The sequence below is a fragment of the Homo sapiens genome, chromosome 12 (genome assembly GCF_000001405.40).
Source record: "Homo sapiens chromosome 12, GRCh38.p14 Primary Assembly".
Lineage (NCBI taxonomy): Eukaryota > Metazoa > Chordata > Mammalia > Primates > Hominidae > Homo > Homo sapiens.
In genome coordinates this window covers 120,094,568-120,119,718 of record NC_000012.12, presented here as the reverse complement: position 1 = coordinate 120,119,718, position 25,151 = coordinate 120,094,568, and the positions used below count along the sequence as shown (strand labels likewise).

The window sequence follows — 25,151 nt, the reverse complement described above, 5'->3', positions numbered from 1 at the left end:
GCACATACCCTGGCCTGCAGGGAATTCCCCTCCAAGCCAAATGATGATTCTCATAGACTGTGACAGGGACTGTCTAAATAGACACTCAAAGCTCTCCTATTCCAGTGCCATCATGACATCTTTATGATAAAATCTTCTCCCCATCATTCTAACTAAAAGCTATAGCTTTCCTCCTCTGAAGTCTAGACTGCATATCTGACAGCTTTTCTATCTACTGTATTGTCTTATACTTTCAATTTCCTCATGAGTATGTCTTAACTCTTGATGAGGCTGTGAACTGGTGAGAAAAGGCTCTGTTCCTTTTTTTTTTTTTTTTTTTTTAAGACGGAGTCTTGCTCTGTCGCCTAGGCTGGAGTGCAGTGGTGCAATCTCGGCAACCTCTGCCACCCGGGTTCAAGCGATTCTCCTGCCTTAGCCTCCCGAGTAGCTGGGATTACCGGCGCCTGCCATCGTGCCCGGCTAATTTTTTTTATTTTTAGTAGAGATGGGGTTTCACCATCTTGGCCAGGCTGGTCTTGAACTCCTGACCTCGTGATCCTCCCGCCTCAGCCTCCCAAAGTGCTGGGATTATGGGTGTGAGCCACAGCGCCCGGCCTAAGGCTCTCTTCTTATAACCTCTGCAATCCGTGGCACATAAACACTCATTAAATAGTTACCAAAGAAATGAAGGAATTTATGCCGATTGCTTTCCAGATGACACATGCAGGCAAAGTCAGGAATCTGGTTTTAATGGCCAATTTGGATTTATTTCCCAAAAATATCCTACAGCCTTATTATCAGGAAGCTGCCTTGAAAATGTGTGCTAGAGTCTACAGTAGGAAATGGCTCAAAGTATGAATCAGTGCAAAATGACCTTGAGTAACATTGGTTACAGTCTGTCACATGCCTACATGTGCCAGGTAATTTACAAACATAACTCTAAAACAACCATTCTGTGAGGAAACGGGGGCTTTGAGATAGTGTGATGTGACTTACCTAAGATCACAAAGCTTTTAAGGGATGGAGGCCAGGATTCCAAAGCTAGCATTGGAACGAAAGTCTTCCCGACACCAGCCCAGGTTGTGAAGATGAGCTAGGAGGACCTACTGCCTCGCTGGCTGGTTAGGGCTGGGCGTGCCTCCCTGGTGGAAGGAAGGTACATACCTTCCTTCTCCCCCTCTATTTCCTAAAACTGCTGAGTCAGAGGATGGCCCTAACCTTCCCGACCAAGGGGGACTTTCTATCGGGAGCACATGAGCAGCTCTTCTCCCTAGCCAGTACCTTCAGATTCCAAGCTCATGTTATTTCGATATCACCACACTGATTCTCAGCTCCCGGAAAAACAACTCAAGGCTTGAGTCAGACACTCCATGTGTTGTTCAATGATCCCGCCTGCAACAATGTTTATTATAACCAAAAAATATAAACAGCATGAATGTCTATTAATAGCGGAGTGGTTAAATAATAGTACATCCGATGGTTATCGGATGGAGTACCATACCACGCAGATGTTAAATGATAAAAGTGTACTGTTAAATAGAAAAAGCAAGGTATGTACATATATGTTTGTACAGGCAAAGGAAATTCACTGGGGGGCACTTATTCATTCAACAAATATGTGTTAAGCATTTTAAGGTTACCTGTGAAACTAACAGGGGTTACCTGTGAGGAGTGCTTCAGAAGGAAAAATAGTAACTTGTACTTTTCAGTAAACTTCTGCACATAATTTTAAGGACGAACATTGTTTTTTTTTTTTGAGACGGAGTTTCGCTCTTGTTGCCCAGAATGGAGTGCAATGGCGAGATCTCAGCTCACTGCAACCTCCGCCTCCCGGGTTCAAGCGATTCTCCCGCCTCAGCCTCCCGGCATTGCTTTTTATAAAGTCAAAAGAAAAGGAAGTTTGATAAAACAAGTAGAACTATCCGATAAATACTCGCCTGGAAAGGGACAGGATTATAAGAAACAGGTAATAAGGAGCTTAAAACCCTCTGCAGTTCTGCAGTGAGGATGGTCGTGGGGGCATACAACTTTCCGTTTCAGGTCAGTTTAGGTAGGGCAGGTGGGAACTCACTCTAAAACGAGAAACCGGGGCTGATGACAAAATGCACACGTTTAGCTTCTGGCGGCCCAGGTCTTCCTAGCCGCAGATTCTGAGACGTGTATCTGCAGGTGGTGTGAAATTGAAGCCGGGGGAGCGGTTGCTTTCGGTCTCCGAGGTGCGCCTTGCACACTGGGTCATTCAGCTCCCAGGCTCGGCTCGGAGCTGGACCACTCCCTCCCCTCCACCAAAGAGGCAATGTGGGCTCCAAGAGGTCACAGCGCTGGGATGGGATTTCGACCCCGCGCTGCCCTCAAAGGCCACCTCCTCGCAGCTCTGCTCCCGCCGGCAGCTCCCGTTCTGTCCAACTCGGAAGCCGCCCGCCGCCCTCGGCGTCCACTCCACAGGCCCGGGGCCGGGGCCAGCTCCGCGGGGGAGGGGTCGGTGCGGAAGGGGCGGGGTACCGGGCCTTCCCCGCGCGACTCTGCCTTCTACGGCCCCGGCCCCTGCCTCTGGAAACCCGGAGCTCGTGCGAGCCCCGCCCCACGGTCGCGGCGTGCCTGTCATTTCCTCTCCGCAGGGCGTGCGGGTCTCGAAGATGAGGGAGCAACAACGTCCACGACCGGGCTTCTCCGGCACCTTGGGCTTCTTTCCGCTGGGACTCGACAGCGGCTCGGCTCCGCAAGCTCTCAGCGCCCAGGGTGGCGGCGACGACGCTCCCCGAGGAGACGCGAGGAAGACGGGCCCGCGCTTGCTGGGACTCCGTCAGGGCGCGTGCGCGACCCGGGCGCGGCCGGCTCAGGCTGCGGCTGCGCAAGGCGGTGCCAGACGCTGCGCCTGCGCAGTGGTGGGGCGGGGCGGGAAGGAGGGAGGCGGTGGTAGCGGCGGCGGCTGCTGAGGAGGAGGAGGGGGAGCGGAGGGAGGTGTTTCTGTCAGTTCCGGCTGTTTGTTCGGGAAGTGGATCCGCCGCTGCCGGAGCAGCCCGAAGGGAGCTGCGGATCGCGAGGCCAGTACCGACCCCGCCCGCCCGCGCGCACCGCCCCCGCCCGCCATGGCCCGGGACTACGACCACCTCTTCAAGCTGCTCATCATCGGCGACAGCGGTGAGGGCCGCAGCGGCCGGAGGCGGCGCGGGCCCTGCCGGGCGCGGCCCGCGGGGGCCTCGGGGCGGCAGGCGGGCGGGGAGGTGCCGGCCCGTGCGGGGCGGGCGGGCGGGGCAGCCCGGCGGTCTGGGCCCCAGGGGTGCGCCGAGGGGCTCCGGACCGCGCCGAGGGGAGGTTGGGGCGCGGGGCGGAGGGGCCAAGCGCGCCGGGTCCAGTCATCGCGCCTGTTCCTGCCTCACGTGTGACCTTGGTCAAGTCGCGCGATCTCTGGAGTTGGAGAGACGTGGGTTCGAGTCTCAGGACTACCACCTGCCTCGCGCTGACCTTGGGCAAGTTGCTTCGCCGTCCTGAGCCTCAGTTCCCTCATCTGAGAAGTGGGGATGTGCCTTGCTGGGTGGTGTGAGGATTCGATGGGATAAAGTAGGAAAAGTGCGTAGCGCCCTACCCGGTAAAGTAAGCTCGAAGTAAATGTTCACTATTGTCATTATCATCAGTATCCTTTATAAGCGTCAGTTTCTTCCCATCTAAAATGAGGACGTTCTCAGAACCTGCCTCATGGGATTGCCGTGAGGTTTAAATGAGGTAAGTCGGATAAAGGGCTTTGCACAGGGTCTGGCATATTCCTGCTGAATTATTATATCCCTGCGTGGTTCAGTTTCCTCATCTGTAAGATGGAATGATAGTTGGATCTGCCTTATGGGGTTGATGTGAGTATTAAGTGAGATTCTGCAGTGTTGCTCACAGCTCCTGGCACATAGTGAGTTGTCACTGTTTGCTGTTACACTACTATATACAGAGGGGTCCTGGGGATGGGACAGCCAAAATTATAAAAGTGCTTTGGCCACACACACACACTGCTTGAGGGCTCCTAGCTCTGATCACTGCTCTAGCTCCAGTGCCTAGAACAGTGCCTGGCACCCAGTACATGCTTAAGACATATTTGCAGAAGGAATTAATGAATATTAAGTGTCCTTCGAAAAGGTAGACTGGTTTCTGGGAAAAGGTGGAGGGTTTTAGAGCTGTTTGGAGTGTGGCAGGTGAGCAGGTTTATGGAGTGACCAAGAGGTCAGGAAGGCAGGCCCCAGAAGGTTTATGGGAGCGAAACTGAGGTGCTGGGGTTATATGATGTTCATGAAAGAGTCTTGGGAGCATGCTCAGTTTGTAGACCAGACCTGAGCTGAGTGTGGGGAGGGATGTCTTATGATTGGAGGCAGAGGCCAGGCTGGTGGTAGAGCCCATGGACTGTTAAGGAAAGGGGATCAAATCAAGTGAGCGGTATGACTTGGGATGTAGGAGTGTTGGGTAGCGATGTCAGAGCTAGGTCAGGGAAGTGGGTGGTTTTGGCCTCCCTTTTAAAGCTGGATGGAGATGTGGTTGGTGGTTTGGATCAGGTGAAGGATGGCTGAGGTTTCCGTGGTTGCTGGAGGAGGGGAGAGGTAAGGGGGAAAGCTGGGGGCTAACCAGGGAGATGGAAGAGTAACTGAGGTTGGGGAAGGAGGTAGAAAGGTGGAGTACTGACTGGTTATGGTTTGAATGAAGGGAAACCAGGCAAGCTCTGGAGTGTTCTCTTGGAGATGGCCTTTGGTATTCTTCAGGGTCTTGAGGCTTCTTCCTTTACATGATTTCCTTGCAGCCCTGGCCTGGGTTCTGAGGGACTGGCACTGGGGCCATTTCTCTCTTTTTGGAGTGACAGCCCGCCGTGGTCAGGAGCCTTTATCCCTCTGCAAGACATCTGGACCTCTGCGTTGATATCCAACAGTGAAAAGCCTAAACTCAGCAGGAAGATGCAGCTTGTTGGCTCTTCTCCTCTGTAAAGCCCAGGGGATGGGTTTGGCCCGCTTTCTCACAGTACATTTTGTGTGATGAATTGATTTTTCTCTCCGAAGTCAGGTGTGGGAGAAGACTCATTGGGTCGAGATTTATGTGGTCTAGCTCCTAGGTCAGCCATGTAGGCGTAGGTTGTGCAGAGGAGATGGATGCTGTGCTCTTTGATTTCTCCCGACATTGAGATCCTCAAAGCTGGGAGATGGTAGCCATGGAAGTCCAGACTAAGCTTTGGCAGCTGAGCCCAGAGACTGACATTACACACTCCCCTGAACTGGGCTCCTTGTGTGAATGCCTCCTTAAGATATGTTGAACGATTTCACAGACGCTTATTCTCACCCGCCCCCTGTGTGATTTGTCAAATAAGGAAACTAAGGCTTAAGGCCGGGCGCGGTGGCTCACGCCTGTAATCCCATCACTTTGGGAGGCCAAGGCGGGCAGATCACCTGAAGACAGGAGTTTGAGACCAACTTGGGCAACATGATGAAACCTCGTCTCTACTAAAAATACAAAAGTAGCCGGGCATGGTGGAATGTGCCTGTAATCCCAGCTACTTGGGAGACTGAGGCAGGAGAATCGCTTGAACCTGGTAGGCGGAAGTTGCAGTGAACCAAGATCGCACTATTGCACTCCAGCCTGGGCGACAAGAATGAAACTCCGTCTTAAAAAAAAGGAAACTGAGGCTCAGAGGAGGTGACTTACTTGCCCCAAATCACATAGCTCAGCAGGGGCAAAGCCGGGAGCCACTGCATCTCAGTGCTAATACGTGTGCGAGCAGCTCATGTCAGGGCTGGCAAACAATAGGCCCTCCATGAATGCTGGTTTCTTTCTTCATAAATCTAGAGTTCTGCCCACTCTGCACATTGTGGATGCTTCTGCAATGGATTCCCTCAATCTCTGCATCCCTTCGTTATGCCGGAGGTTCTATATTTTCTTTTTTTCCTTTTTTTTTTTTTTGAGACGGAGTCTCGCTCTGTCGCCCAGGCTGGAGTGCAGTGGCGCGATCTCGGCTCACTGCCGGCTCCACCTCCCCGGTTCACGCCATTCTCCTGCCTCAGCCTCCCGAGTAGGTGGGACTACAGGTGCCCACCACCATGCCCGGCTAATCTTTTGTATTTTTAGTAGAGACAGGGTTTCACCATTTTAGCCAGTATGGTCTCTATCTCCTGACCTCGTGATCCGCCCGCCTCGGCCTCCCAAAGTGCTGGGATTACAGGCGTGAGCCACCGCGCCCGGCCAGTTCTGTATTTTCTATACTTTCCCTTATACTCTCTGACACTGGCTTTGATTTGTAACAGCATGTCGTCTGCATCCCTCAGGCCAGCCATCCTCATTTGGAGATGGAGTTAGCCCTTCACTTGACAGATGAGTAAATTGAGGCTCAGAGAGGGGGCGTGACTTGTGTGAGGTTATACAGTGAGGTGGTGGCTGAGGCAGGTTTAAAATTGAGAACATGGCTGGGGGCAGTAGTTTGTCCTAGTGCTTTGGGAGGATGAGGCGGGAGGAACACTTGAACTCGAGACCATAGTGAGAGCAACATAGTGATAGCGAGACCCCATCTCTTAAAAAAAAAAAAAAAAAAAGGCCGGGCACAGTGGCTCACACCTGTAATCCCAGCACTTTGGGAGGCCGAGGTGGGCAGATCACCTGAGGTCAGGAATTCGAGACCAGCCTGGCCAACATGGTGAAACCCTGTCCCTACTTAAAACACAAAAAATTAGTTGGGTGTGGTGGTACGCACCTGTAATCCCAGCTACTCGGGAGGCTGAGGCAGGAGAATCATTTGAACCCAGGAGGCGGATGTTGCAGTGAGCCGAGATCGTGCCACTGTACTCCAGCCTGGGGGACAAGAGCGAGACTTCATCTCAAAAAAAAAAAAAAAATCAGTTGGGCGTGGTGGTGCACATCTATAGTCCCAGCTATGTGGGAGGCTGAGACAGGAAGATTGTTTTAACCCAGGAGTTCAAAGTTACAGGGAGTTAGGATCACACAACTGCACTCCAGCCTGGGTGACAGAATGAGACACTGTCTCAAAAAAAAAAAAAGGTCCAGGCACGGTAGCTCACACCTGTAATCCCAGCACTTTGGGAGGCCGAGGTGGAGGATCACTTGAGCCCAAGAGTTTGAGACCAGCCTGGGCAACATAGGGAGGCCCTGTCTCAACAAAAAGAAGAAAATTAGCAGGGCATGGTGGTGCACGCCTGTGGTCTCAGCTACTTGGGAGGCTGAGGTGGGAGGATCTCTTGAGTCTGGGAGGTTGAGACTGCAATGAGCTATGATCACGCTGCTGCACTTTAGCCTGAGCAACAGAGCAAGATCCTGTTTCAAAAAAAAAAAAAAATATCGAGAACAGTTCACTGAAAGGTCAGGGCTCTTCAAGAGGTTGAACTGAAGCAGAGAGGAGTGAGGGGGCCATAGCCCAGGCAGGAGCAGGAGGAAGGGAAGACATGTGTGTGGCTTGCGTGGTGAGGACCAGATACAGCAGCCAGGGGTAAAAGGCCGGGAGCAGTAGCTCACTCCTATAATCCCAGCACTTTGGGAGGCCGAGGCAGGCGGATCACTTGAGGTCAGGAGCTCGAGACCAGCTTGGCCAATGTGGTGAAACCCTGTCCCTACAAACAATACAAAAAATTAGCTGGGCGTGATGGCGGGCGCCTGTAATCCCAGCTACTCCGGAGGCTGAGGCAAGAGAATCGCTTGAATCTGGGAGGTGGAGGTTGCAGCCAAGATCGCGCCACCGTACTCCAGCCTGGGCGACAGAGTGAGACTCCATTTAAAAAAAAAAAAAAAAGAATGACAGGCTGGACTGGTTGGGGTCATGCTGATGTGCCCTTGGGCAGCCTCGGGGGTGGCTGTGGTGAAGGTTGGTGGGTGCCCTCTGCTCCTGCCCTGACACTGATGGTGTGGGGTAATGGCTGCAGCTTGTGTTTCCGAGGAAGCCTCTTCCAGGGATATTTAGGAGGTAGTGTTTCTTGGGGTGGGTTTCTGTTCCTCTCAAAGGGAGAGCAGTGTCAGAGGTTGGTGTCAGGTCCAAAGCAGCAGATAATGTGGTGATGGTTGTGGTCTTTCTGCAGCCTAGTGGCTTTTTTTTTTTGAGATGGAGTCTCGCTCTGTCGCCCAGGCTGGAGTGCAGTGACACGATCTCAGTTCGCTGCAACCTCCGCCTCCTGGGTTCAGGCGATTCTCCTGCCTCAGCCTCCCGAGTAGCTGGGATTACAGGCACGCACCACCACGCCCGGCTAATTTTTGTATTTTTACTAGAGGTGGGGTGTTCATCATGTTGGCCAGGATGGTCTCGATCTCTTGACCTCGTGATCTGCCCACCTCGGCCTCCCAAAGTGCTGGGATTACGGGTGTGAGCCACTGCGCCTGGCCAGCCTAGTGGCTTTTAACTGCTCTGCCGAGACGCCTGGGGACAGTATGGGGACCTGGAGAGGCCAAGCTGGAGGGGATACTGCTGTGTCATTGCAGAGAGAGCTGTTTTACACATGGGATTTGGGTAAAGCTTGGATGAAGAAAAGGATTCTGCTGCCCTGCAGAAGTTTGGAAACCCCTGCTTAGGCGCCTGCTGTGCTGCAGTGGGAGCGCTGGATAGCAGAGCTGTCAGTGTGGCGGGCGTTCGTTTAGGCAGAAATTCATTAAGCAGTGTTTGGTTGGCACCTACTAAGTGCTGGGCCTGGCTTACAGCACTGTGAATGCACAGGGCGGGTGAGGCGAGGGCTCTGTCCTAGAGGAACTCCCAGACTCAAGCTTTTAGCTGAGTAAGCTGGACCCAGAAGGCTCCAGGAGGAAGCAGAGGAGGCGGCGAGGCCAGTGGGGTGCTGGTGTTGGGCACAGCGCCGTGAAGGACCCAACCCGGGACTCGGGCTCTCCTTGAGCTCAGCAGGAAGCCTCACGGCGGAGCAAGGAGGAAGTGGCCCTGAGCATGAGCCCTGCAGGCCCAGGCTGAGCAGCGTCTGCCTGCCCAGGAGAGCCTCACCCTGGCCTGTCTTTAGGAAAGTAGGACCCAGGCTTACTCAGTGAAACAAGTTCTTCTGGGCATCGTGGGGCAGCTCACTCACCAGGAGAAGCTCCCAGAAGAGATCTTTAGAGGATTGCCCAGAGAGGATGCTGGGGTTAGGCTTAGGGAAATACAACTGCGACAGTGGTTTTCCGCTTTGGTTACTTGGTAGAGTGCAGGTGGAGGCAGTGCCCTTCTTGAGAATCTATTAAAATTGTGGAGCCAAATGCAGTGGCTCAGGCCTGTTAGCCCAGCACCTTGGGAGGCAGAAGCGGGCAGATTGCTTGAGGCCAGGAGTTTGAGACCAGCCTGGGCAATATAGTGAGAGGCCATCTCTACAAAAAATTTTTAAAGAGTTTGCTGGGTGTGGTGGCGAACACCTGTAGTACTTGGGGATTTCAAGGTTAGAGTGAGTTATGATCGCACCACTGCCCTCCAGCCTGAGAGACAGAGTAAGGCCCTATCTCTCCAAAAAAAAAAAAAATGCTGTGGGCTTCTCCCATGAACAGACACCTAGGCTCAAATCTGCACTTTGTTTCAGGGGGTTTCATAGCTTTCGTGGCATTTTCATTAAAAATCTAACAGGAGTGAGATGTTGGAGCCCCCACAGGTCATTTTTTCCAAACTTCCTGAACCAGACGCAAGACTCCCAGCAATGTGTATTGGGAGGAGTGTTAGCACTCTGGAGGAGTCCGGCCTGGATGCAGATCTCAGCTTTACTGCTGCTCACAGAGGCACTTAGGCCGGCCACTCTGGGCCTGAGGTTCCTCATCTCAAGAGATGTGGCCAGAATTATAATCAAAGAGGCATCCAAGGGCTCACCACACACACAGCCCGATGCATGTGAATTCTTTGTGGTCAATTAACTTGGCTGGCCTCAGGGGTGTTGGAGATTGGGGACAGGATAGGAGGACATGGAACAGGTGTACTTGGCAGGCTGAAAGCACTGTGAGTTGAAGTCAAGGGGAGAGGTCCAGGCGCAGTGGCTCATGCCTGTAATCCCAGCGCTTTGGGAGGCCCAGGCGGGAGGGTTGCTTGAGGCCAGAAGTTTGAGACCAACTTGGGCAACATAGCAAGACCTCGTCTCTACAAAAGATTAAAAAAAAAAAAAAAAAAAGCCTGGGCAACGTAGCCAGACTCTGTCCCTACTAAAAATAAAAAAATTAGCTGGGCATGATGGTATGCACATGTGGTCCCAGCTACTCGGGAGGCTGAGGTCAGAGGATCACTTGAGCCTAGGAGTTGGAGGCTGTGGTGAGACATGATTGCACCATTGTACTCCAGCCTGAGTGACTGAATGAAACCCCATTTTTTTTTTTTTGAGACAGAGTTTCGCTCTTGTTGCCCAGGCTGGAGTGCAGTGGCATGATCTCAGCTCACTGCAACCTCCGCCTCCCGGGTTCAAGTGCTTCTCCTGCCTCAGTCTCCCGAGTAGCTGGGATTACAGGCATGTGCCACCACGCCCAGCTAATTTTGTATTTTTAGTAGAGACGGGGTTTCTCCATATTGGTCAGGCTGGTCTTGAACTCCCGACCTCAGGTGATCCGCCTGCCTCGGCCTCCCAAAGTGCTGGGATTACAGGCATGAGCCACCGCGCCTGGCCTGAAACCCCATTTCTTTACAAAAAAAGTGGGGGAGGCCAGATGTGTACATGTTTGTGCTCTAAGCAGCCAGGAGCTGCTGTGGCTGGTGCATGGTCTGAGCACATGTGGGCTGCTGCCCTGATGGGTATAAGGCAGACCCTCCACTCCACCAGCCCACCCGGCGGGGACATCAGCCAGAAAGATGGTAGCCATTGAGTTCTAGCTATGTGGGCCTTGGTTTCCTCACCTGCAAAATAGCCCTGATGATCTCAAGGGTCCTTTCCCGCTCTACAGCTCTTCATTTTGGGCGGCTCCCTAACTGATGTGCTACAACGTGCTGTGCACTTTTCTAGGGACCATGTTGTAGACGCACTTGGGGGCCGTTTCGTGTGGTTGACCTTCATTCTGCTTTGTCGTCTGGCATCTCCCTTTGGGCCAGCCCTCAGCCTAGGGCCTGGGCACCAGTCCCTTTCTCATCTCTCCCCCAGGGGATTTGGGAGCAGCTTGTCTTACACAAGGACGAAGGAAAAGGTCAGGGATCGAGTGGAAGAGATGTTCTTGGTGTGTGGCCGCTCAGGGAGGTGGAAAGAGCATTGAGAAGTGAGCTGGGTCCCACCGAGCTTCTTAAGAGTTGGGACTGAGGCATCCTCTCCCGGAAGAAGGGCTGGGGCTGCGGGGAGGGGACCCACCTGCCCCCCTCATCGCAGTGCTTTCTCTCTTGCAGGTGTGGGCAAGAGCAGTTTACTGTTGCGTTTTGCAGACAACACTTTCTCAGGTGAGTCCTCCCCTGCAGTGCTGCTGGGGTGTCGTTTTTGTTTGTTTGTTGACATCCCCTCCCTGGCACCAAACAGAGTTGCCTCTGCCTGATGTTGGGAACTGTCTCATTCTGGTTGCCAGAGGAGGGAAGAAGATGGAGTGGGGCTTAGGACCTTGTGGCGCTTCTGTCAGAAGCCTCTGTGGTCTGTCTAATGCACCTGCTCACGAAAACCCTTTGGCTGGCCCATCATTTTCCCACCCATGGTCCAAACAGGAAGGTTCCCATAACAGCGTCTATGGTGCCACCCGGGACACAGTCCCTGCTCCTGCCCCCTATGCCTCCCTGGCAGCCTGTGGTCAGCGTGTGTCTTTCTGATTTCTTTCTGCGCTCCACATGCAGGCCTTTGTGGTTCATCTGAGTGCGGTGGGCTTTCTGTGCTTGAAGGCACCACATGGTGCACTGACGCTGCTGTTACATCGTGCCTGACTTCTGGTTGTGTTTTCAGCGATGCTTAGCTACTTGGGATATAGGCGATATTTATTCTTTTTTTTTTTTTTTTTTTTTTTTTGAGATGGAGTCTTGCTCTGTCACCCAGGCTGGAGTGCAGTGGCGCGATTTCGGCTCACTGCAACCTCTGCCTCCTGGGTTCAAGCAATTCTCCTGTCTCAACCTCCCAAGTAGTTGGGACTATAGGCACCTGCCACCACGCCCGACTAATTTTTATATTTTTAATAGAGATGGGGTTTCACCATGTTGGTCAGGCTGGTCTCGAACGTCTGACCTCAGGTGATCCACCCACCTTGGCCTTCCAAAGTGCTGGGATTACAGGCGTGAGCCACTGCGCCCAGCTGATACTTATTCTTGTGCACGTGTTTCTGTAGAAGTGGGGTTACTGGCTTACAGGGTGTATGCACTGAGAATTTTCATAGGTACTGCCAACCTGCTTTTCAAAGAAGCTGGAGTCATTTAATCCAGTCCCACTGAAGGGTGGAAAGTGCCCCTTGTCAACCCTGGTCAGTGCTGGATCTTAGTAGCTGTCTTCATTCTTGCTGAGCTGATAGGCAAAAAGGGCTAACTTGTTTACATTTGTATTTCCCTAATCACTGGTAAGATGGAACACATTTTTGTTTGTTAAATACATCAGGTTCAGCCGGGTGCGGTGGCTCACACCTGTAATCCCAGCACTTTGGGAGGCCGAGGCGGGTGGATCATGAGGTCAGGAGTTCGAGACCAGCCTGACCAACATGGTGAAACCCCGTCTCTACTAAAAATACAAAAATTAGCTGGGCGTGGTGGTGCATACCTATAATCCTAGCGACTGGGGAGGCTGAGGCAGGAGAGTTGCTTGAATCCGGGAGAGGGAGGTTGCAGTGAGCTGAGATGGCACCACTGCACTCCAGCCTGAACGACAGAGCGAGACTCCATCTCAAAAAACAACAAAAAAAATCAGGTTCATTACAGATGCTTTGGGTGGGGTTGACATCTCTGATTATCTTGTGGAGAATTCCCTCTGACATGGCTGGGCTGCCTTTAGAAAGTGATTCCGTTGGCCAGGCGCGGTGGCTCACGCCTGTAATCCTAGCACTTTGGGAGGCCGAGGCGCGTGGATCATGAGGTCAGGAGATTGAGACCATCCTGGCCAATATGGTGAAACTCTGTCTCTACTAAAAATAAAAAAATGAGTTGGGTGTGGCGGCATGTGCCTGTAATCCCGGCTACTCAGGAGGCTGAGGCAGGAGAATCGCTTGAACCAGGGAGTTGGTTGCAGTGAGCCGAGATCTTGTCACAGCACTCCAGCCTGGCGACAGAGTGAGACTCCGTCTCAAAAAAAAAAAAAAAAAAAGAAAAAGAAAGTGATTCCATAGCTGATGTCTCTTGGTGGAGAAGTGGGTTTTGCCCCCTTTGTTTCCTTGACACTGTCCCTGCAATCTCACTAGTGGTGTGGTGTTAGAAAGAGATGGCTGCTCTGTGTGACCTTAGCCAGTTCATTTGTAAAATAGAAGCCTCAGTTCATGTGTAAAGTAGAAATCATAATGGTCCTTTCCCCATGGGGTTGTTATAGGATGACCTGAGATAGTGCAGGTTGCAGTGCCTGGGACTAAGTAATTGCTCAATAAATACCAGCTATTTGTTGCGACTGGCTGTTAACCTTCTGTTTAAGAATGATAGCTGATTAACAGCCTCTAATTATGCTAAAAAATGTTCCTCTTCCTCCTTAATGGCCTCCTCCCTCCCCATCCCAATCTGTGTTCAGTGCTTGGAGGGCTTGTTGTTGCAATCTCTTCCCACCTTTCCATTTCTACGACCAGCATCTCAGTTTACTGTTGGTTCTACCTGGAAGCATTACGGCAACCCCTACCCACCCTGAACCGCTCATGTGTGTGTCTGGTAGGGTCTTTTCTCTGTTTAAAAACCTCAGTGGCCCCTCTCACCTGCACAGAGTTTACAGTAAGATTTCTTCACTTGGACACTGTTGACCCTTTGGGCCCTGTGATTTTTTTTTTTTTTTTTTTTTTTTGAGACGGAGTCTCGCTCTGTCGCCCAGGCTGGAGTGCGGTGGTGTGATCTTGGCTCACTGCAAGCTCCGCCTCCCGGGTTCACGCCATTCTCCTGCCTCCCAAGTAGCTGGGACCACAGGTGCCCGCCACCACGCCTGGCTAATTTTTTGTATTTTTAGTAGAGACGGGGTTTTACCATGTGAGCCAGGATGGTCTTGATCTCCTGACCTCGTGATCTGCCCACCTCGGCCTCCCAGAGTGCTGGGATTACAGGCGTGAGCCAGCGCGCCGGGTCTGGGCCCTGTGATTTTTGTTGTGGGGCTATCCTGCGTGTCGAAGGATGTTGAGCAGCATCCCTGGCCTCCACCCACTAAATGCCAGCAACACTTCCCTCCCCCTGCTGTGACAACCAAAAATGCCTCCAGACATTGCTGAGTGTCCTTTGGAGGGACAGTCATCCCGGCTGAGAACCACTGCGCTCGTAGTCTGTTTTCAGTTCGCCTTTCTGGCTTCCTCCTACCCCCTGGTCATTCTTTTGTTCTTTGGCTTGCTTGGTTCGTTAGCCACCAGCTGTTTCTGGGGAGCCTAACTGTGCTAGGCAGTGGGCTGCACTCCTTGGCGTTCCCCTGGCTGGAAGACCCCGGGTGCTGGCCGCTTTTCTGAATGTGTTCTGGTTGCGTATCATCCTCAGCTATTTGCTTTTGAGTGGGATGTCGTTCCCCTACCTAATCTCAACCTTTGAAGTCTTACCTGTTCTTTCAAGCTAGGCCCAGATGTGACGTCCTCCCTGAAGCCTGCCTTGTTCCCCACCCCACCTTGGAATTTGACCTTTCCTACGCCCTTGCCACATTTCACATAATTGTGTGTGTGTGTGGTGTCTCCTGCACTGTTATAGCATAAGCCCCAAATGGAGTGAGAAGCTGTGCTCTTCCTAGTGTCAGGCTTTGGAAAGCTGGACTGGGCAATTACACCGGCTAGAAATTCTCCTCAAATCCATCTTTCAGGCCGGGCACGGTGGCTTGTGCCTGTAATCCCAGCACTTTGGGAGGCTGAGGCAGGCGGATCACTTGAGGTCAGGAGTTTGAGACCAGCCTGGGCAACATGGTGAAACCCCGTCTGTACTAAAAACACAAAAATTAGCCGGGCGTGGTGGCGCATGCCTGTAGTCCCAGCTACTCAGGAGGCTGAGGTGGGAGGATTATCAGACCCTGGGGGAAGGTCAAGGGTGCAATCCCACTTCACTCCAGCCTGGGCGACAGAATGAGACGCTGTCCCCCCCCCACCAAAAAAAATCCATTTTTCCCACAGATGCTGCAAGAGAGCTATTTAAAATGCAGCAGCTCATGCCACTGATTAAAACCCTTTGGTGCCTCCCCAGCACACACGAGAGAAAGTCCACGTTCTTGGAAGTGGCACACAGGTCCAAGATCTGGCCTCGCCACTTTCTGCCTGCCTTGGGCGGCAGGCTTGACCTCATGTGACCGCCCCCACTCACGGCTGTTTTTGCTACTGTCTCCCCTGCCTGGAGCAGTGGCTTTCAGACTGCAGCTCATGACCTATTTGTGTGTTTGGAAGTGAATTTTGAGGGCCCTAAATTTTTTTTGACTTGAATAGAAAAGAAAAACCCAGAGTGCCCGTAGGTCTACCATTCTCAGACATAGCTGGTGTGTCCCCATCTAGCCACTCTAAAGGAGCCTGTCCCACTCCCGCCAGTCCCATCCCGTGTTATTTCCTATGTGTCACTTTTCACTCTCGGAAATTGTCCTCTTTGTTTGTTTGCTTGCATCCTGTCTCCCTCCTTCACTTGTGTGTGGAGGGGCCTTGTGAACAAGGATGTTCAGGGCTGTGTCCCTGGGACCTAGAATGTACCAGGCACATGTAATGAGTCGGGAGGGTGGGGGAGCCTGGGGGTGTGTTGTGTGCAGCGTGGGGCTCAGGGCCTGGGAAGATACCGCGCTGGGCCTCGTTAACTGCCCTGTGTGTGCAGGCAGCTACATCACCACGATCGGAGTGGATTTCAAGATCCGGACCGTGGAGATCAACGGGGAGAAGGTGAAGCTGCAGATCTGGGACACAGCGGGGCAGGAGCGCTTCCGCACCATCACCTCCACGTGAGTCCACACGCCCACTCCCACCCAACCCGCGCCACTGACCTGTGGACACAGTTGAGCGACCGGTGCCTGGTCATGGTGGAAATGTCACTGGTGGGTCCCTGAGGCTGTCGGGAAGTGAGCCTGTTGTTGGCTGTAGTAGGTGGCGTTTGGCTGCACCCTTCCTGGTCCTGAAGATGTGAGGGGGGTGCTGTGGGGGAGTCGCTGAGCACCCTGGCTGGAGTCTGGCCGGACAGTGGCCATGTTCTATCTCCTTGGAGAGTCAGCCGACCCTCCGGCCCACTGTGCCGTCACCTTACAGAGAGAGCAGAATAGCATTTGCCTCGCTAGGGGGTTGCGAAGTGCCTTGCCCACCCAGGACTTAGTCGCTGACAATTCCTCTTGGTAGGTGTCAGTTATGGCAGCTGGAGTTGGCCTGTGCAGGCTCCCGTCACCTGCACTGATGCCTTGGAAGTGACGCTGTCTAGAGACGAACACGGTGCATGTCAGCAGGCCCTTCCCTACCCTTAAAGCTGTTCCTGGGAAATCCGGCCGCCCACCGGTTGCCCACCTTTGTGGCTGAGCTGCAGGCCGGGGGGAAGCTGGGCTCCTGCGCAGATGGGCAGTGTCCTTCGGAGCGGCTCCTGGTTATTGGGTTGTTAGTGGAGCAGGTTTTAGGAAAGAGCAGGGTCTGAAGGGGCCGATTTGGAGCTGTTGGGCTGTGTGTCCTTAGGCAAGTTGCCGAAGCTCTCTGCGCTCGTTTCCTGGAGGGCCTGCCTCTGGGATTGGCTTCCATGTGGAGGGTGCCAGGTGCTCTGCTGCAGGCGTCAACGTGCGTGCCGGGGTGTGGTGTCTGGCAGCTCTGTGTGCTTGGTGCTGCTGTCATCCCATTTGACAGAGGGCGCCCTGGAGGGGTCCCTCCCAGCGGCCAAGCCTGTGCTCCACACAGTGGCCTGTGCAGAGTGAGGGGCGGCTGTCTGGCTCCACGGGCACCTCCTTGGCTCTCTCGAGCAGCTCCTCTGGAAGTGACCTCAGGAAGGCGAATGAGGAAGTCCCAGCCAGCGGCCCCCTTCCTTCCCACAGCATGAAAGCCCGGCACTCCCCAGGCTGGCTGCCCCTGCCCCCGGGCCCCTCGGCATCTCCCGAGGGTGGGAAGTGTGGGGTGCAGCGCCCCCATGGATGGCTGGGAGTATGGGGGAGAGCAGGGCTGCTGGAGAGGGACAGGTGTGCTGGGCGAGCAGCTCCTGGGGCTGGAGCCAAGGCGGAGGGCTTGTCACTGGGTTCACCCTATGCTGAGCACATTTGTGCTGTGGCCCGTGATGCCCGGAATCCCTGGGAGCTCCCAGTCCCGGGGTCGCCCTGGTGTGGTGCTGTGTGGTGACCGTTGATGAGCCCTGTGAGCGAGGGCTCTGTGGCCTGCATGTCTTGGCAGCTGCCAGTGAGAATCTGCGGAGGACACTGGGGCAGGGCTGGCATCAGTGCTTTGGGCAGCCTGGGGCTGCAGGCCCAGGCGAGGCAAGCCCTCATGCCGTTGGCTGGTCTGGGCGCTGACCTCATGAATCCTTGCTCTGGGTTGGTCCTGTCGCTAGGATTTCAGCTGCTTTATTTTGGTTAATCCCGGTAGAGAGACCTGTGACTATCTCCATTTTATGGACAGGAAAACAGGCCCAGGGAGGATGAAGCCTCCTAACTCAGTGGGGCAGAGGTTGGGGGCACTCAGGGTTGGCCCTGAGTCTGCCGAGGCCCTGCATCGACTGGGCAGGTGGCGCCCCTGCCTTCCTGCCCCGTCCTGTGCCTTAAAACCAGGCGGAGGTTCAGGGTGGCAGAGGTTCAGAGGCCCGTGGCCATGAGGAATGAACTCCTGGGCAGGGCAGTGGGGCCTGGGGGGTCCGAGGCTCTTTCAGCAGGAGGAGCCACAGCCCCTCCCTGCCATCATGCAGTCAGCTGCTTTCTGGGCTGGGCAGAGCGGGAAGAAGGTGAACTGGTTCCTCCATTCCGTGGGGAGGCGGGGAGGAGTCACTCAGCTTCCTGGGAGCAACATGGGTTTTTCCCCAGGGGCTTGGGAAGGGGCGGCCTGTGGGCAGCGGCTGGGCCCCTGCTGCCGTCCCACGTGTCTGGGGAAGCAGACAGGTGGCTCCATCTTAGAGTCCCGCTCTGGCCCTCATGAGGCAGGAGGCCCAGCAGGGCGCCCTGAGGGGCCACTGGAAGTCTCGACGCCCTTTGATGGTCACTGGCAAAGAAGGAAGGAGTTTTGGGGAGGTGAGGAGTTTTCAGGAATAGGGCAGTCAGGATGCAGTAGCGTGACTTTTTTCCGATGCAGGGCGTTCAGAGAGAAACTGAAACTGCATCCTGTTAGCCTGGCGAGAAAAAGCCTTGTGGTCACCCCTTCTCGGGTTCTTGCTCTCAGAAGCTGAGGTTTGCCGGCCCTGAGAGGTGCGGGTGGGATGGAGGTGAGGGGAGAAGTGACAAGGAAGGCAAGGCCCTGGCGTTGGGCCTGGGAGTCAGCCCTGGGCGCCAGGACTTCCAGCTGGCCGCTGCACTCAGCCTCACGTCCTTGCTGGTCACATGGCCATCCTGAGGTCTGCTGGATCAGGTGGCTGCAGACATTAATAAGGTAATGGATACCAAGCCCCCAGCTCTGTGCCTGGCCTAGAGCAGAGTCCCTGTGAGTGAAGGTGATTCCTGGTGGCCATGGGAAACGTCGGTGCTCCGGTTCCTCCTAGCCAGAGCTCTGAGCCCCTGACTTCATCCCCAGACAAATTCTCTGCTCTCAGATAAAGCCCCTTTCCTGGGCCCCGGATGAGGCAGAGGCGCCCAGGGAGCCGCGGGGGCTGTGCGCCGGGGCCATGGCTGCAGGCGTTTCTTGGCATCTCTGATCATCTTCAGCAAAGGAGAGTCTGCAGAGCCATCCGCTCCTTGGGCTTCCTCTGCTGGCAGGGGACAGTCGCCTGTTCCTGTGGCTCCGGCGCGCCCTCGCTCTGGAAGGCGTCTGACACACCATGCCATGTGCTGACCCGGCGCTCTCAGCAGCAGCTGCCAAGGCCAGAGCTAGTTCTTGGGCCCAGTGCCAAGAGAGCTTGATCGTCACAGCTACCCCGAAGCCAAGGAGCGACGCTGCCCTGGAAGCAAAGCTGTGGGCAGAATGAAGCCCTGGGAAGAGATCCCAGCGGTCGTGTTGAGGATGGAGCAAGGATGGGGCAGGGGCGGTGGCAGGGGCAGGTTGGGCTTTGTCCCAGGGCTGGGCAGGAGCTCTGGCTCTGCAGCATCAGGGAAGATGCTCAGGGCTGCCCCTAAGCTGCCTGTTGGTTTCCTTCCACCACCTCTGTCTGGGACCACAGATTGTCCTTGAAGGCACATTGATGATGCTGAAGAACGCATACTGACTGTTTACTGCTCCCCCGCCTTGGGGTAATGCTTAGCTCCTTTCTTCCTCATGACCACCCCAGTTAAGGACTAGCCACCTGTGTGCTATAACTGTTGAAGCTGCAAGGTGTGGCAGGGTGAATGCAGGCACCTTCCCAAGGGCCAGCCTTTCAGAGATGGAGCCAGGGTTGGTCTTTGTCCTTAGATCGGGCCTCAGATGTGAAGCATTGGCCAGAGAGCTGATGGGCAGGTGGACAGGAATGGAGCTGCAGCCACAAGTCAGCCTGGCTGCCCCATTCTTGCTCAGCCTGCGCTGACTTGGGCTGTTCCTGAACTGGGGCTTGGGCTGTCCCCATGAACCTCATGGGGGTGGAGGTAATTAGGGCTGGGGCAGGTGGCAGCCAGAAAGCCGGGAGGAAGCGGCCTGTCCACTCATGGTTTGTCTGTGTGCTGTCCTGAGGAGCCCTGGGGTGGAGGTCCCTGCGGCTTTGGGGAGAGGGGACAGAGGGACAGCTCTGGCTGATTGCACAGTGTGGGGCGGGGCTGCCGCCTGGCCTCCGGCTCTTCGACAGCTCTCGGGGAAGCGGAGGCTGTGGTCCCCCTCCTCCTCCGGGGATTGATGTCGTCCTGTGCCACTGGGATGAATGGGGACATGGGGTCTGGAGAGGAGAGTTGGGCCTCCCCTTCCTTCTGGCCTTCCTGGCTGGCCCTGGGCTCTGCATGTTTGGGGTGATGGCTTTGCTGGGCGCCCTCTCCCCAGCCATCCCTGGATGCTTGTGTGGCTTCCATGCTTTTCCTGCCACCTGCACAGATGAGCCAAGAGTAGCAGGAAGGGAGGTGCCTACCTGCCCCAGGGGAGGGGCACAGACTTTGCCAGGGCGTCATGATGGTGTGGCTTCTTGGAAAGGTTCTCTAAAACAGGTTTGAGGAGCAAATATTTTTTTGAATGTTCAAAGACAGTGATAACATGATGTCAAATACAAAAACTGCCTGATTTCCCAAAATAAAGCAAGAACTTCAAAGATGTTTCAAGCCTGCAGCAGACTCTGAACAGCAGGAGGTGACTCCTCAGACCTGCTCTGCTGCCCAGGGGCTGGCCCTCCCGCCCTGTTGGTGCCCCGGGCGGGCAGGGGGAGTCAGTGCTGCCGCAGTAGCCTCTCCTGCTGGCCTGTTGTGGCTCGGGGGCATCTGCCGAGGCTGAGTGAGAGCCCAGGCTCCAGGGCCACCCTCACCTTTTCCGGGTCAGTGTCCTGACGTGGGCAGGTGGGTCCCGGCAAGGGGGTGACTCCTGTCGGGGTTGACATGCTGCCGCACACTCTGGCCCTGCAGGTATTATCGGGGGACCCACGGGGTCATTGTGGTTTACGACGTCACCAGTGCCGAGTCCTTTGTCAACGTCAAGCGGTGGCTTCACGAAATCAACCAGAACTGTGATGATGTGTGCCGAATATTAGGTGAGGCTGCACTCAGGGCCGGGTCGGGGTTGGGTGGGAGAGAGGCAGCCGGCTGCGCCCCTCAGGGCTGCGCTGACTCTGCCTTCGTTTGAAGTGGGTAATAAGAATGACGACCCTGAGCGGAAGGTGGTGGAGACGGAAGATGCCTACAAATTCGCCGGGCAGATGGGCATCCAGTTGTTCGAGACCAGCGCCAAGGAGAATGTCAACGTGGAAGAGGTGAGGCCCTGGGCCACTGTGGCTCTGCCACACACCCGTGGCCGCCTTCTCCATGCTGCTGGCCTGCTTGAGGCATCTAAATGACCAACAGAAAATGTCATAGTAACTGCCATTTATTGAGTGCCTACTATGTGCCAGGCCCTTTAACGATCTTAGTTCATAGTTCAACAGTCCTCTGAGGTAGGTACAATTATACCCACATTTCAAATAGGGAAACTGAGGCTCCAAGTGTTGAAGTAACTCAAGGACCACCACCTGGCTAGTAAGAGACTGAGTAAACCTCTGTCCCACACCAAAGCCAAGCACAGTTTCCACTCCAGTCCTCTGCCTCATTGGCCGCCTTGTGCTGTGTGGAGCCCAGAGGCCTGTGGAAGTCGAGGATCCCACTGCTTCAGGGCACAGGGGCCACACAGCAGCGGGCACAGGCTCCTTTGTAAGTCAGGCTGGTGTCCTGATGCTGGCCCATCCACCTGGGCCTGTGGGCAAGGCTGGTATGACCTTGGGCGGTGACTTCACCTCTCTGGGCCCCACATGCCATGAAGTGGCGTGGAGCAGGCAGACCCCGGGTCACCTATGTCCGTGAACAGCAGGGGCACTTTCATCTGTCATGTCATAAGATTCCAGCTGGGCCGGGCGCGCCGGCTCACGCCTGTAATCTCAGTGCTTTGGGAGGCCGAGGCGGGCGGATCACGAGGTCAGGAGATCGAGACCATCCTGGCTAACATGGTGGAACCCTGTCTCTACTAAAAATACAAAAAAATTAGCCGGGCGTGGTGGTGGGCGCCTGTAGTCCCAGCTACTCGGGAGGCTGAGGCAGGAGAATGGTGTGAACCAGGGAGGCAGAGTTTGCAGTGAGCTGAGATCACGCCACTGCACTCCAGCCTGGGCGACAGAGCGAGACTCCATCTCACAAAAAAAAAAAAAAAAAAAAGATTCCAGCTGAAGGAAAGGGGTTGGTCTCTCTAAAAGAAGGACTGGAAAACCCCTGTGAGATTGACTTCCCCAAGTCCACACAGCTCATGGGCCTCTGATGGTGTTCCTTTTTTCAGACTTATTTATTTGTTGAGTCAGGGTCTAACTCTGTCATCCAGGCTGGAGTGCAGTGGTGTGTTCACAGCCCACTGTAGTCTCGATCTCCTGGGCTCAAGTAATCCTCCCACCTTAGCTTCTCAAGTAGCTGGGACTACAGGTGTGCACCACCACTCCCGGCTAATTTTTGTGTTTTTTGTAGAGGTGGGGTTTTAGCAATGTTGTTCCTTTTTGACCTTTAAATAAAATAATTCACCACCTCCTTCTAGAATAGGCTTTGAAGACATACATACCAAAAATGCACAGGTAGAAAGAGCTGGGCCCCGGAAGGCGGGGAGGCAGCCGTGCAGGCCAGCAGGGGCCTCCTGGCCAGGTCTGAGGCGGGCCCTTCCTCTTTCCTCTCCACAGATGTTCAACTGCATCACGGAGCTGGTCCTCCGAGCAAAGAAAGACAACCTGGCAAAACAGCAGCAGCAACAACAGAACGATGTGGTGAAGCTCACGAAGAACAGTAAACGAAAGAAACGCTGCTGCTAATGGCACCCAGTCCACTGCAGAGACTGCACTGCGGTCCCTCCCCCAGCCCGAGGCCCACGGAGGTTCCTCGGGGGACAGTCTCAGTTTCGTGCCGTTATTTAAAGAATTCTCTCCATGTTTTTGTATCGGGAGGTGCCATCGGCACTTCCTCCCCCGCCCTCCTCGAGTGCCAAGAAGGTGTTGGACCAGCCCGCCCTTCCCTACTGGTGCCCCCTCCTCCCCGGCCAAGGCGCCTGGACCTGGCGAGGACGCTGCCCGCCGAGCGGACTGATTCGCAGAGTCTGTACATAGTGTATATTGCTCTACCCGGCCGCACACCACGTCCTGCTCTGGCTTTTGCCTTCTTGATGCCAGCCTGCTGCAACAGACCCTCCCCGCGCCCCTCCCCAGCCCATCTTACTGCAAGCAGCGTCCTGAGGAGACAGCGGCACGTTCTAGCTGCGTCTGCGGCCAGCCCGTGCCAGTGGAGTGGGCTCCGCGTTGCTCATTCTCTCCGACAGGTTGTCAGCCTCTGTCCCCGCTGCACAGGGTCTTGCCCCTTCTCCGGGGCCTGTGCCAGCTCCCTTCCCTCCCCGTTGTCCTGTCCCCACAGCCATTCTGGGAGCTGGGGAACCTGGTCTCAAGGCAGGCCCTGCAGTTCCACAGAGGTGGCAGGTCTTGCCCTTTGGCCAACAGATTTCTTGTCCTGCCTTCTAGATGCCTCTGAGCTCCAAACCCAGGGCAGCCATGGCTTCTCATTTACACCAACAGGTTTCAGTTCCAACAGAAAGGTCGGGGTAGGTTCGTGCAGAGATGGGGCTGGCAGGGGGGCTATGGGAGGATTATTTTAACAGATCAAGAAAATGAAGCCAAATCAAGTGAATTAAATTCCTCACAATTATTTTCTTTCCCTGAGGTTTGATTGGCACAGCAGCAAAAGTTGAGGCCACCCCACTTGTGTCCACTGTTTTTAGAAAAAAATGAATGGCTTCCTGCCATTGTGGGGCTGGACTCTTGGGCTTTCTTGGTGGGAGCGGAGAAGGGGCCTCCCACCCTTGTCCGAGTTGCCTCCCACTGGAGGTCAGGAGTCTACACTGCAGCCTCGGGCACTGTGGGGAGTGCATGCCTGGGGCCTCTGGGTGGGGACCATGGACAGGCCCTGGTCACTGTCCTAACCTTTGTCAGGACAAAGGTAGCAAGAGGATTTCCTGGCGGGTGGGAAGGAATGGCTGGGGCGGCCAGTTTTGACACGCCCCAGTGCCCTGGAGAACAACCAGGGTCATCTGCACTTGATGACTGCTCCCCGACCCCCAGCCCGGACACCTCATTCCCCTCCCACTACAGGGATCAAGTGACCTGGGAAGAACCGAGTTTAACACCAGGATGTGTTTCCTTAGATTTCCTTTCCTAGGCGATTTCCAGGGAGAGCCCTGATTGGACAATCACATCACAGATCACACTGCAGTTTCCATGTTAGCACTGTGGATGGGTTTTTAATCAATAAAAACTGGGGGTTTCTTCTCACCGACTCTCCACTTGCCCAAACTGCCAAAAGCTGGTGATTCTGGGACAGGCCTTCACTTTGGAGCCACGGGATGGGGTGGGGGAGCCCCATGGGCCTGGGAAGGAGGGTGCTGTGGAGGGGGCTGCAGGGCTGACCAGCAGGCAGCCTCATCTGGTCGGGGGCGGGGGCGGCAGGAGCAGAAGCGGGGTCTCCGTCCTTGGGACTGTCCTGGTTGGCCACGGGCCCTGAGGATGCACGGTGCCTGGGGCTCCTGTGCCGGTGGGCGGGGGGCATGCTGGCCTCTGAGCGATCAGGCGAGGCCAGCGAGGGTGTGCTTGCAAATTCAAGCAATAAGAGGGGGGTTCCTGGGGGCTTCCAGCCCAGGCTAGAAGCCCCCATGGCTTCTGGCAGCTGGACATCAGCCCCAGGTATTGGGGTGATTTTGGTCATGACAGTGTGCCTGTCCCACTGTTACACGCATGAATGGGGGTTATGGGGTGGGGGTGGGGACTCAGGGCTGGACCGACGTCCTAGTGGACCTGATGTGAAATTCCTGTCAAACAAACACCACTTTTCAATGGTTTGCTAGGAGTATTTCTGTATTGAAAGTTTCTAATTATGCTTTTTAAAAAAATACTAAAAATAAAGGTTCAAGCTGCCAAATTTTCTTCCAGGGTCTGTTTGCTCTCCCTCCAGAGATGTGCTGAGTGGCCGTGGCTTCTTCCCACCCACCGTGTCCTGCTCTTCCCTGTTCTTGGCCTAAGTCTTGCACAGGAGCCTGTCGAGGCCCTTGGGACACTTCCAGAAGCCAGGTCCATTTTCTCCATGAACAGGTGGGCCAGGGTTGAGTCTCCCCCTAGTTGGACTGGGAGCACATGTGGTAAGATGCCAGGGGAAGCTCCGTGTTTATCCTCCACATGCCTGGAAGGATGCAGTGGAAGCCTTTGCCTGGCGTGGTTTCTTTCTGGCTTGAAGTTTCTGCCAAGCTTTAGGGCCCTGCTGGCCTGGGAAGCAGCGTTGGCAGGCCTGCCTTGCGGATGGCACGCTGCAGCACTGGCAGGGGGCAGTGCCAGGCGGGAGGGGCAGGGGAGGATGCCCTTCCTGGCCAAATCCCTTGGTTAAGTAAGTACCAGCATCTGAGGTGGCCCGGGTGCAGGGGAACCACTATTGCTACCTCTCCAGCAGCAGCCAGTG

The 25,151-nt window shown here is 54.9% G+C and overlaps 1 protein-coding gene and 1 long non-coding RNA gene across 3 annotated transcripts, besides 22 other annotated features; one reads left to right on the top strand and one right to left on the bottom strand.

The window, feature by feature from the left end:
- Positions 607-1,398: an enhancer, noted in NCBI's record as "H3K27ac hESC enhancer chr12:120556125-120556916 (GRCh37/hg19 assembly coordinates)". NCBI's record gives its function as "activates a minimal SCP1, AML or CMV promoter by ChIP-STARR-seq in primed H9 embryonic stem cells {active_cell/tissue: H9 hESC(primed)}" and the evidence as "EXISTENCE:reporter gene assay evidence [ECO:0000049][PMID:30033119]".
- Positions 716-2,812, bottom strand: RAB35-AS1 (RAB35 antisense RNA 1). The gene has a single exon (NR_182302.1). It is a non-coding gene; the product is annotated as an RAB35 antisense RNA 1 (long non-coding RNA).
- Positions 898-947: an enhancer, noted in NCBI's record as "active region_7127". NCBI's record gives its function as "activates an Ori minimal core promoter by ATAC-STARR-seq in GM12878 lymphoblastoid cells {active_cell/tissue: GM12878}" and the evidence as "EXISTENCE:reporter gene assay evidence [ECO:0000049][PMID:35858748]".
- Positions 988-1,057: an enhancer, noted in NCBI's record as "active region_7126". NCBI's record gives its function as "activates an Ori minimal core promoter by ATAC-STARR-seq in GM12878 lymphoblastoid cells {active_cell/tissue: GM12878}" and the evidence as "EXISTENCE:reporter gene assay evidence [ECO:0000049][PMID:35858748]".
- Positions 1,088-1,187: an enhancer, noted in NCBI's record as "active region_7125". NCBI's record gives its function as "activates an Ori minimal core promoter by ATAC-STARR-seq in GM12878 lymphoblastoid cells {active_cell/tissue: GM12878}" and the evidence as "EXISTENCE:reporter gene assay evidence [ECO:0000049][PMID:35858748]".
- Positions 1,900-2,078: a silencer, noted in NCBI's record as "fragment chr12:120555445-120555623 (GRCh37/hg19 assembly coordinates)". NCBI's record gives its function as "represses an EF-1alpha promoter that drives an FKBP-Casp9 reporter gene in an ReSE screen in phorbol 12-myristate 13-acetate-treated (for megakaryocytic differentiation) K562 erythroleukemia cells {active_cell/tissue: K562(+PMA)}" and the evidence as "EXISTENCE:reporter gene assay evidence [ECO:0000049][PMID:32094911]".
- Positions 2,066-2,125: a silencer, noted in NCBI's record as "silent region_4941". NCBI's record gives its function as "represses an Ori minimal core promoter by ATAC-STARR-seq in GM12878 lymphoblastoid cells {active_cell/tissue: GM12878}" and the evidence as "EXISTENCE:reporter gene assay evidence [ECO:0000049][PMID:35858748]".
- Positions 2,191-2,982: an enhancer, noted in NCBI's record as "OCT4-H3K27ac hESC enhancer chr12:120554541-120555332 (GRCh37/hg19 assembly coordinates)". NCBI's record gives its function as "activates a minimal SCP1, AML or CMV promoter by ChIP-STARR-seq in primed H9 embryonic stem cells {active_cell/tissue: H9 hESC(primed)}" and the evidence as "EXISTENCE:reporter gene assay evidence [ECO:0000049][PMID:30033119]".
- Positions 2,191-3,035: a biological region, named in NCBI's record as "OCT4-H3K27ac hESC enhancer GRCh37_chr12:120554541-120555332".
- Positions 2,216-2,565: a silencer, noted in NCBI's record as "silent region_4940". NCBI's record gives its function as "represses an Ori minimal core promoter by ATAC-STARR-seq in GM12878 lymphoblastoid cells {active_cell/tissue: GM12878}" and the evidence as "EXISTENCE:reporter gene assay evidence [ECO:0000049][PMID:35858748]".
- Positions 2,726-3,035: a silencer, noted in NCBI's record as "silent region_4939". NCBI's record gives its function as "represses an Ori minimal core promoter by ATAC-STARR-seq in GM12878 lymphoblastoid cells {active_cell/tissue: GM12878}" and the evidence as "EXISTENCE:reporter gene assay evidence [ECO:0000049][PMID:35858748]".
- Positions 2,966-24,620, top strand: RAB35 (RAB35, member RAS oncogene family). Of its 2 annotated transcripts, NM_006861.7 has the most exons (6): positions 2,966-3,120; positions 11,252-11,302; positions 15,770-15,893; positions 20,565-20,689; positions 20,784-20,908; positions 22,346-24,620. In NM_006861.7, exons 1-6 carry the CDS (start codon positions 3,069-3,071, stop codon positions 22,472-22,474), a joined length of 606 nt encoding a protein of 201 aa, NP_006852.1. In that variant the 5' UTR covers positions 2,966-3,068; the 3' UTR covers positions 22,475-24,620. The 2 variants fall into 2 exon arrangements, with proteins under 2 accessions (NP_006852.1, NP_001161078.1); NM_001167606.2 differs by lacking the exon at positions 20,784-20,908.
- Positions 2,983-3,775: an enhancer, noted in NCBI's record as "OCT4-H3K27ac hESC enhancer chr12:120553748-120554540 (GRCh37/hg19 assembly coordinates)". NCBI's record gives its function as "activates a minimal SCP1, AML or CMV promoter by ChIP-STARR-seq in primed H9 embryonic stem cells {active_cell/tissue: H9 hESC(primed)}" and the evidence as "EXISTENCE:reporter gene assay evidence [ECO:0000049][PMID:30033119]".
- Positions 3,136-3,265: a silencer, noted in NCBI's record as "silent region_4938". NCBI's record gives its function as "represses an Ori minimal core promoter by ATAC-STARR-seq in GM12878 lymphoblastoid cells {active_cell/tissue: GM12878}" and the evidence as "EXISTENCE:reporter gene assay evidence [ECO:0000049][PMID:35858748]".
- Positions 8,389-8,588: an enhancer, noted in NCBI's record as "active region_7124". NCBI's record gives its function as "activates an Ori minimal core promoter by ATAC-STARR-seq in GM12878 lymphoblastoid cells {active_cell/tissue: GM12878}" and the evidence as "EXISTENCE:reporter gene assay evidence [ECO:0000049][PMID:35858748]".
- Positions 8,749-9,268: an enhancer, noted in NCBI's record as "H3K27ac-H3K4me1 hESC enhancer chr12:120548255-120548774 (GRCh37/hg19 assembly coordinates)". NCBI's record gives its function as "activates a minimal SCP1, AML or CMV promoter by ChIP-STARR-seq in naive H9 embryonic stem cells {active_cell/tissue: H9 hESC(naive)}" and the evidence as "EXISTENCE:reporter gene assay evidence [ECO:0000049][PMID:30033119]".
- Positions 8,779-8,828: an enhancer, noted in NCBI's record as "active region_7123". NCBI's record gives its function as "activates an Ori minimal core promoter by ATAC-STARR-seq in GM12878 lymphoblastoid cells {active_cell/tissue: GM12878}" and the evidence as "EXISTENCE:reporter gene assay evidence [ECO:0000049][PMID:35858748]".
- Positions 9,269-9,786: an enhancer, noted in NCBI's record as "H3K27ac-H3K4me1 hESC enhancer chr12:120547737-120548254 (GRCh37/hg19 assembly coordinates)". NCBI's record gives its function as "activates a minimal SCP1, AML or CMV promoter by ChIP-STARR-seq in naive H9 embryonic stem cells {active_cell/tissue: H9 hESC(naive)}" and the evidence as "EXISTENCE:reporter gene assay evidence [ECO:0000049][PMID:30033119]".
- Positions 9,319-9,428: an enhancer, noted in NCBI's record as "active region_7122". NCBI's record gives its function as "activates an Ori minimal core promoter by ATAC-STARR-seq in GM12878 lymphoblastoid cells {active_cell/tissue: GM12878}" and the evidence as "EXISTENCE:reporter gene assay evidence [ECO:0000049][PMID:35858748]".
- Positions 9,787-10,306: an enhancer, noted in NCBI's record as "H3K27ac hESC enhancer chr12:120547217-120547736 (GRCh37/hg19 assembly coordinates)". NCBI's record gives its function as "activates a minimal SCP1, AML or CMV promoter by ChIP-STARR-seq in naive H9 embryonic stem cells {active_cell/tissue: H9 hESC(naive)}" and the evidence as "EXISTENCE:reporter gene assay evidence [ECO:0000049][PMID:30033119]".
- Positions 14,721-15,322: an enhancer, noted in NCBI's record as "H3K27ac-H3K4me1 hESC enhancer chr12:120542201-120542802 (GRCh37/hg19 assembly coordinates)". NCBI's record gives its function as "activates a minimal SCP1, AML or CMV promoter by ChIP-STARR-seq in naive and primed H9 embryonic stem cells {active_cell/tissue: H9 hESC(naive and primed)}" and the evidence as "EXISTENCE:reporter gene assay evidence [ECO:0000049][PMID:30033119]".
- Positions 15,323-15,924: an enhancer, noted in NCBI's record as "H3K27ac-H3K4me1 hESC enhancer chr12:120541599-120542200 (GRCh37/hg19 assembly coordinates)". NCBI's record gives its function as "activates a minimal SCP1, AML or CMV promoter by ChIP-STARR-seq in naive H9 embryonic stem cells {active_cell/tissue: H9 hESC(naive)}" and the evidence as "EXISTENCE:reporter gene assay evidence [ECO:0000049][PMID:30033119]".
- Positions 15,925-16,526: an enhancer, noted in NCBI's record as "H3K27ac hESC enhancer chr12:120540997-120541598 (GRCh37/hg19 assembly coordinates)". NCBI's record gives its function as "activates a minimal SCP1, AML or CMV promoter by ChIP-STARR-seq in primed H9 embryonic stem cells {active_cell/tissue: H9 hESC(primed)}" and the evidence as "EXISTENCE:reporter gene assay evidence [ECO:0000049][PMID:30033119]".
- Positions 16,527-17,128: an enhancer, noted in NCBI's record as "H3K27ac-H3K4me1 hESC enhancer chr12:120540395-120540996 (GRCh37/hg19 assembly coordinates)". NCBI's record gives its function as "activates a minimal SCP1, AML or CMV promoter by ChIP-STARR-seq in primed H9 embryonic stem cells {active_cell/tissue: H9 hESC(primed)}" and the evidence as "EXISTENCE:reporter gene assay evidence [ECO:0000049][PMID:30033119]".
- Positions 24,621-25,151: the final 531 nt, after the last annotated feature.

Excerpts from the sequence above, each read along its gene's own strand:
- RAB35 (NM_006861.7), top strand. The coding sequence starts at position 3,069 with ATGGCCCGGGACTACGACCACCTCTTCAAGCTGCTCATCATCGGCGAC. Across the intron at positions 11,303-15,769 it reads TGCAGACAACACTTTCTCAG|GCAGCTACATCACCACGATC; the intron begins GTGAGTCCTCCC and ends CTGTGTGTGCAG. Across the intron at positions 15,894-20,564 it reads TTCCGCACCATCACCTCCAC|GTATTATCGGGGGACCCACG; the intron begins GTGAGTCCACAC and ends CTGGCCCTGCAG.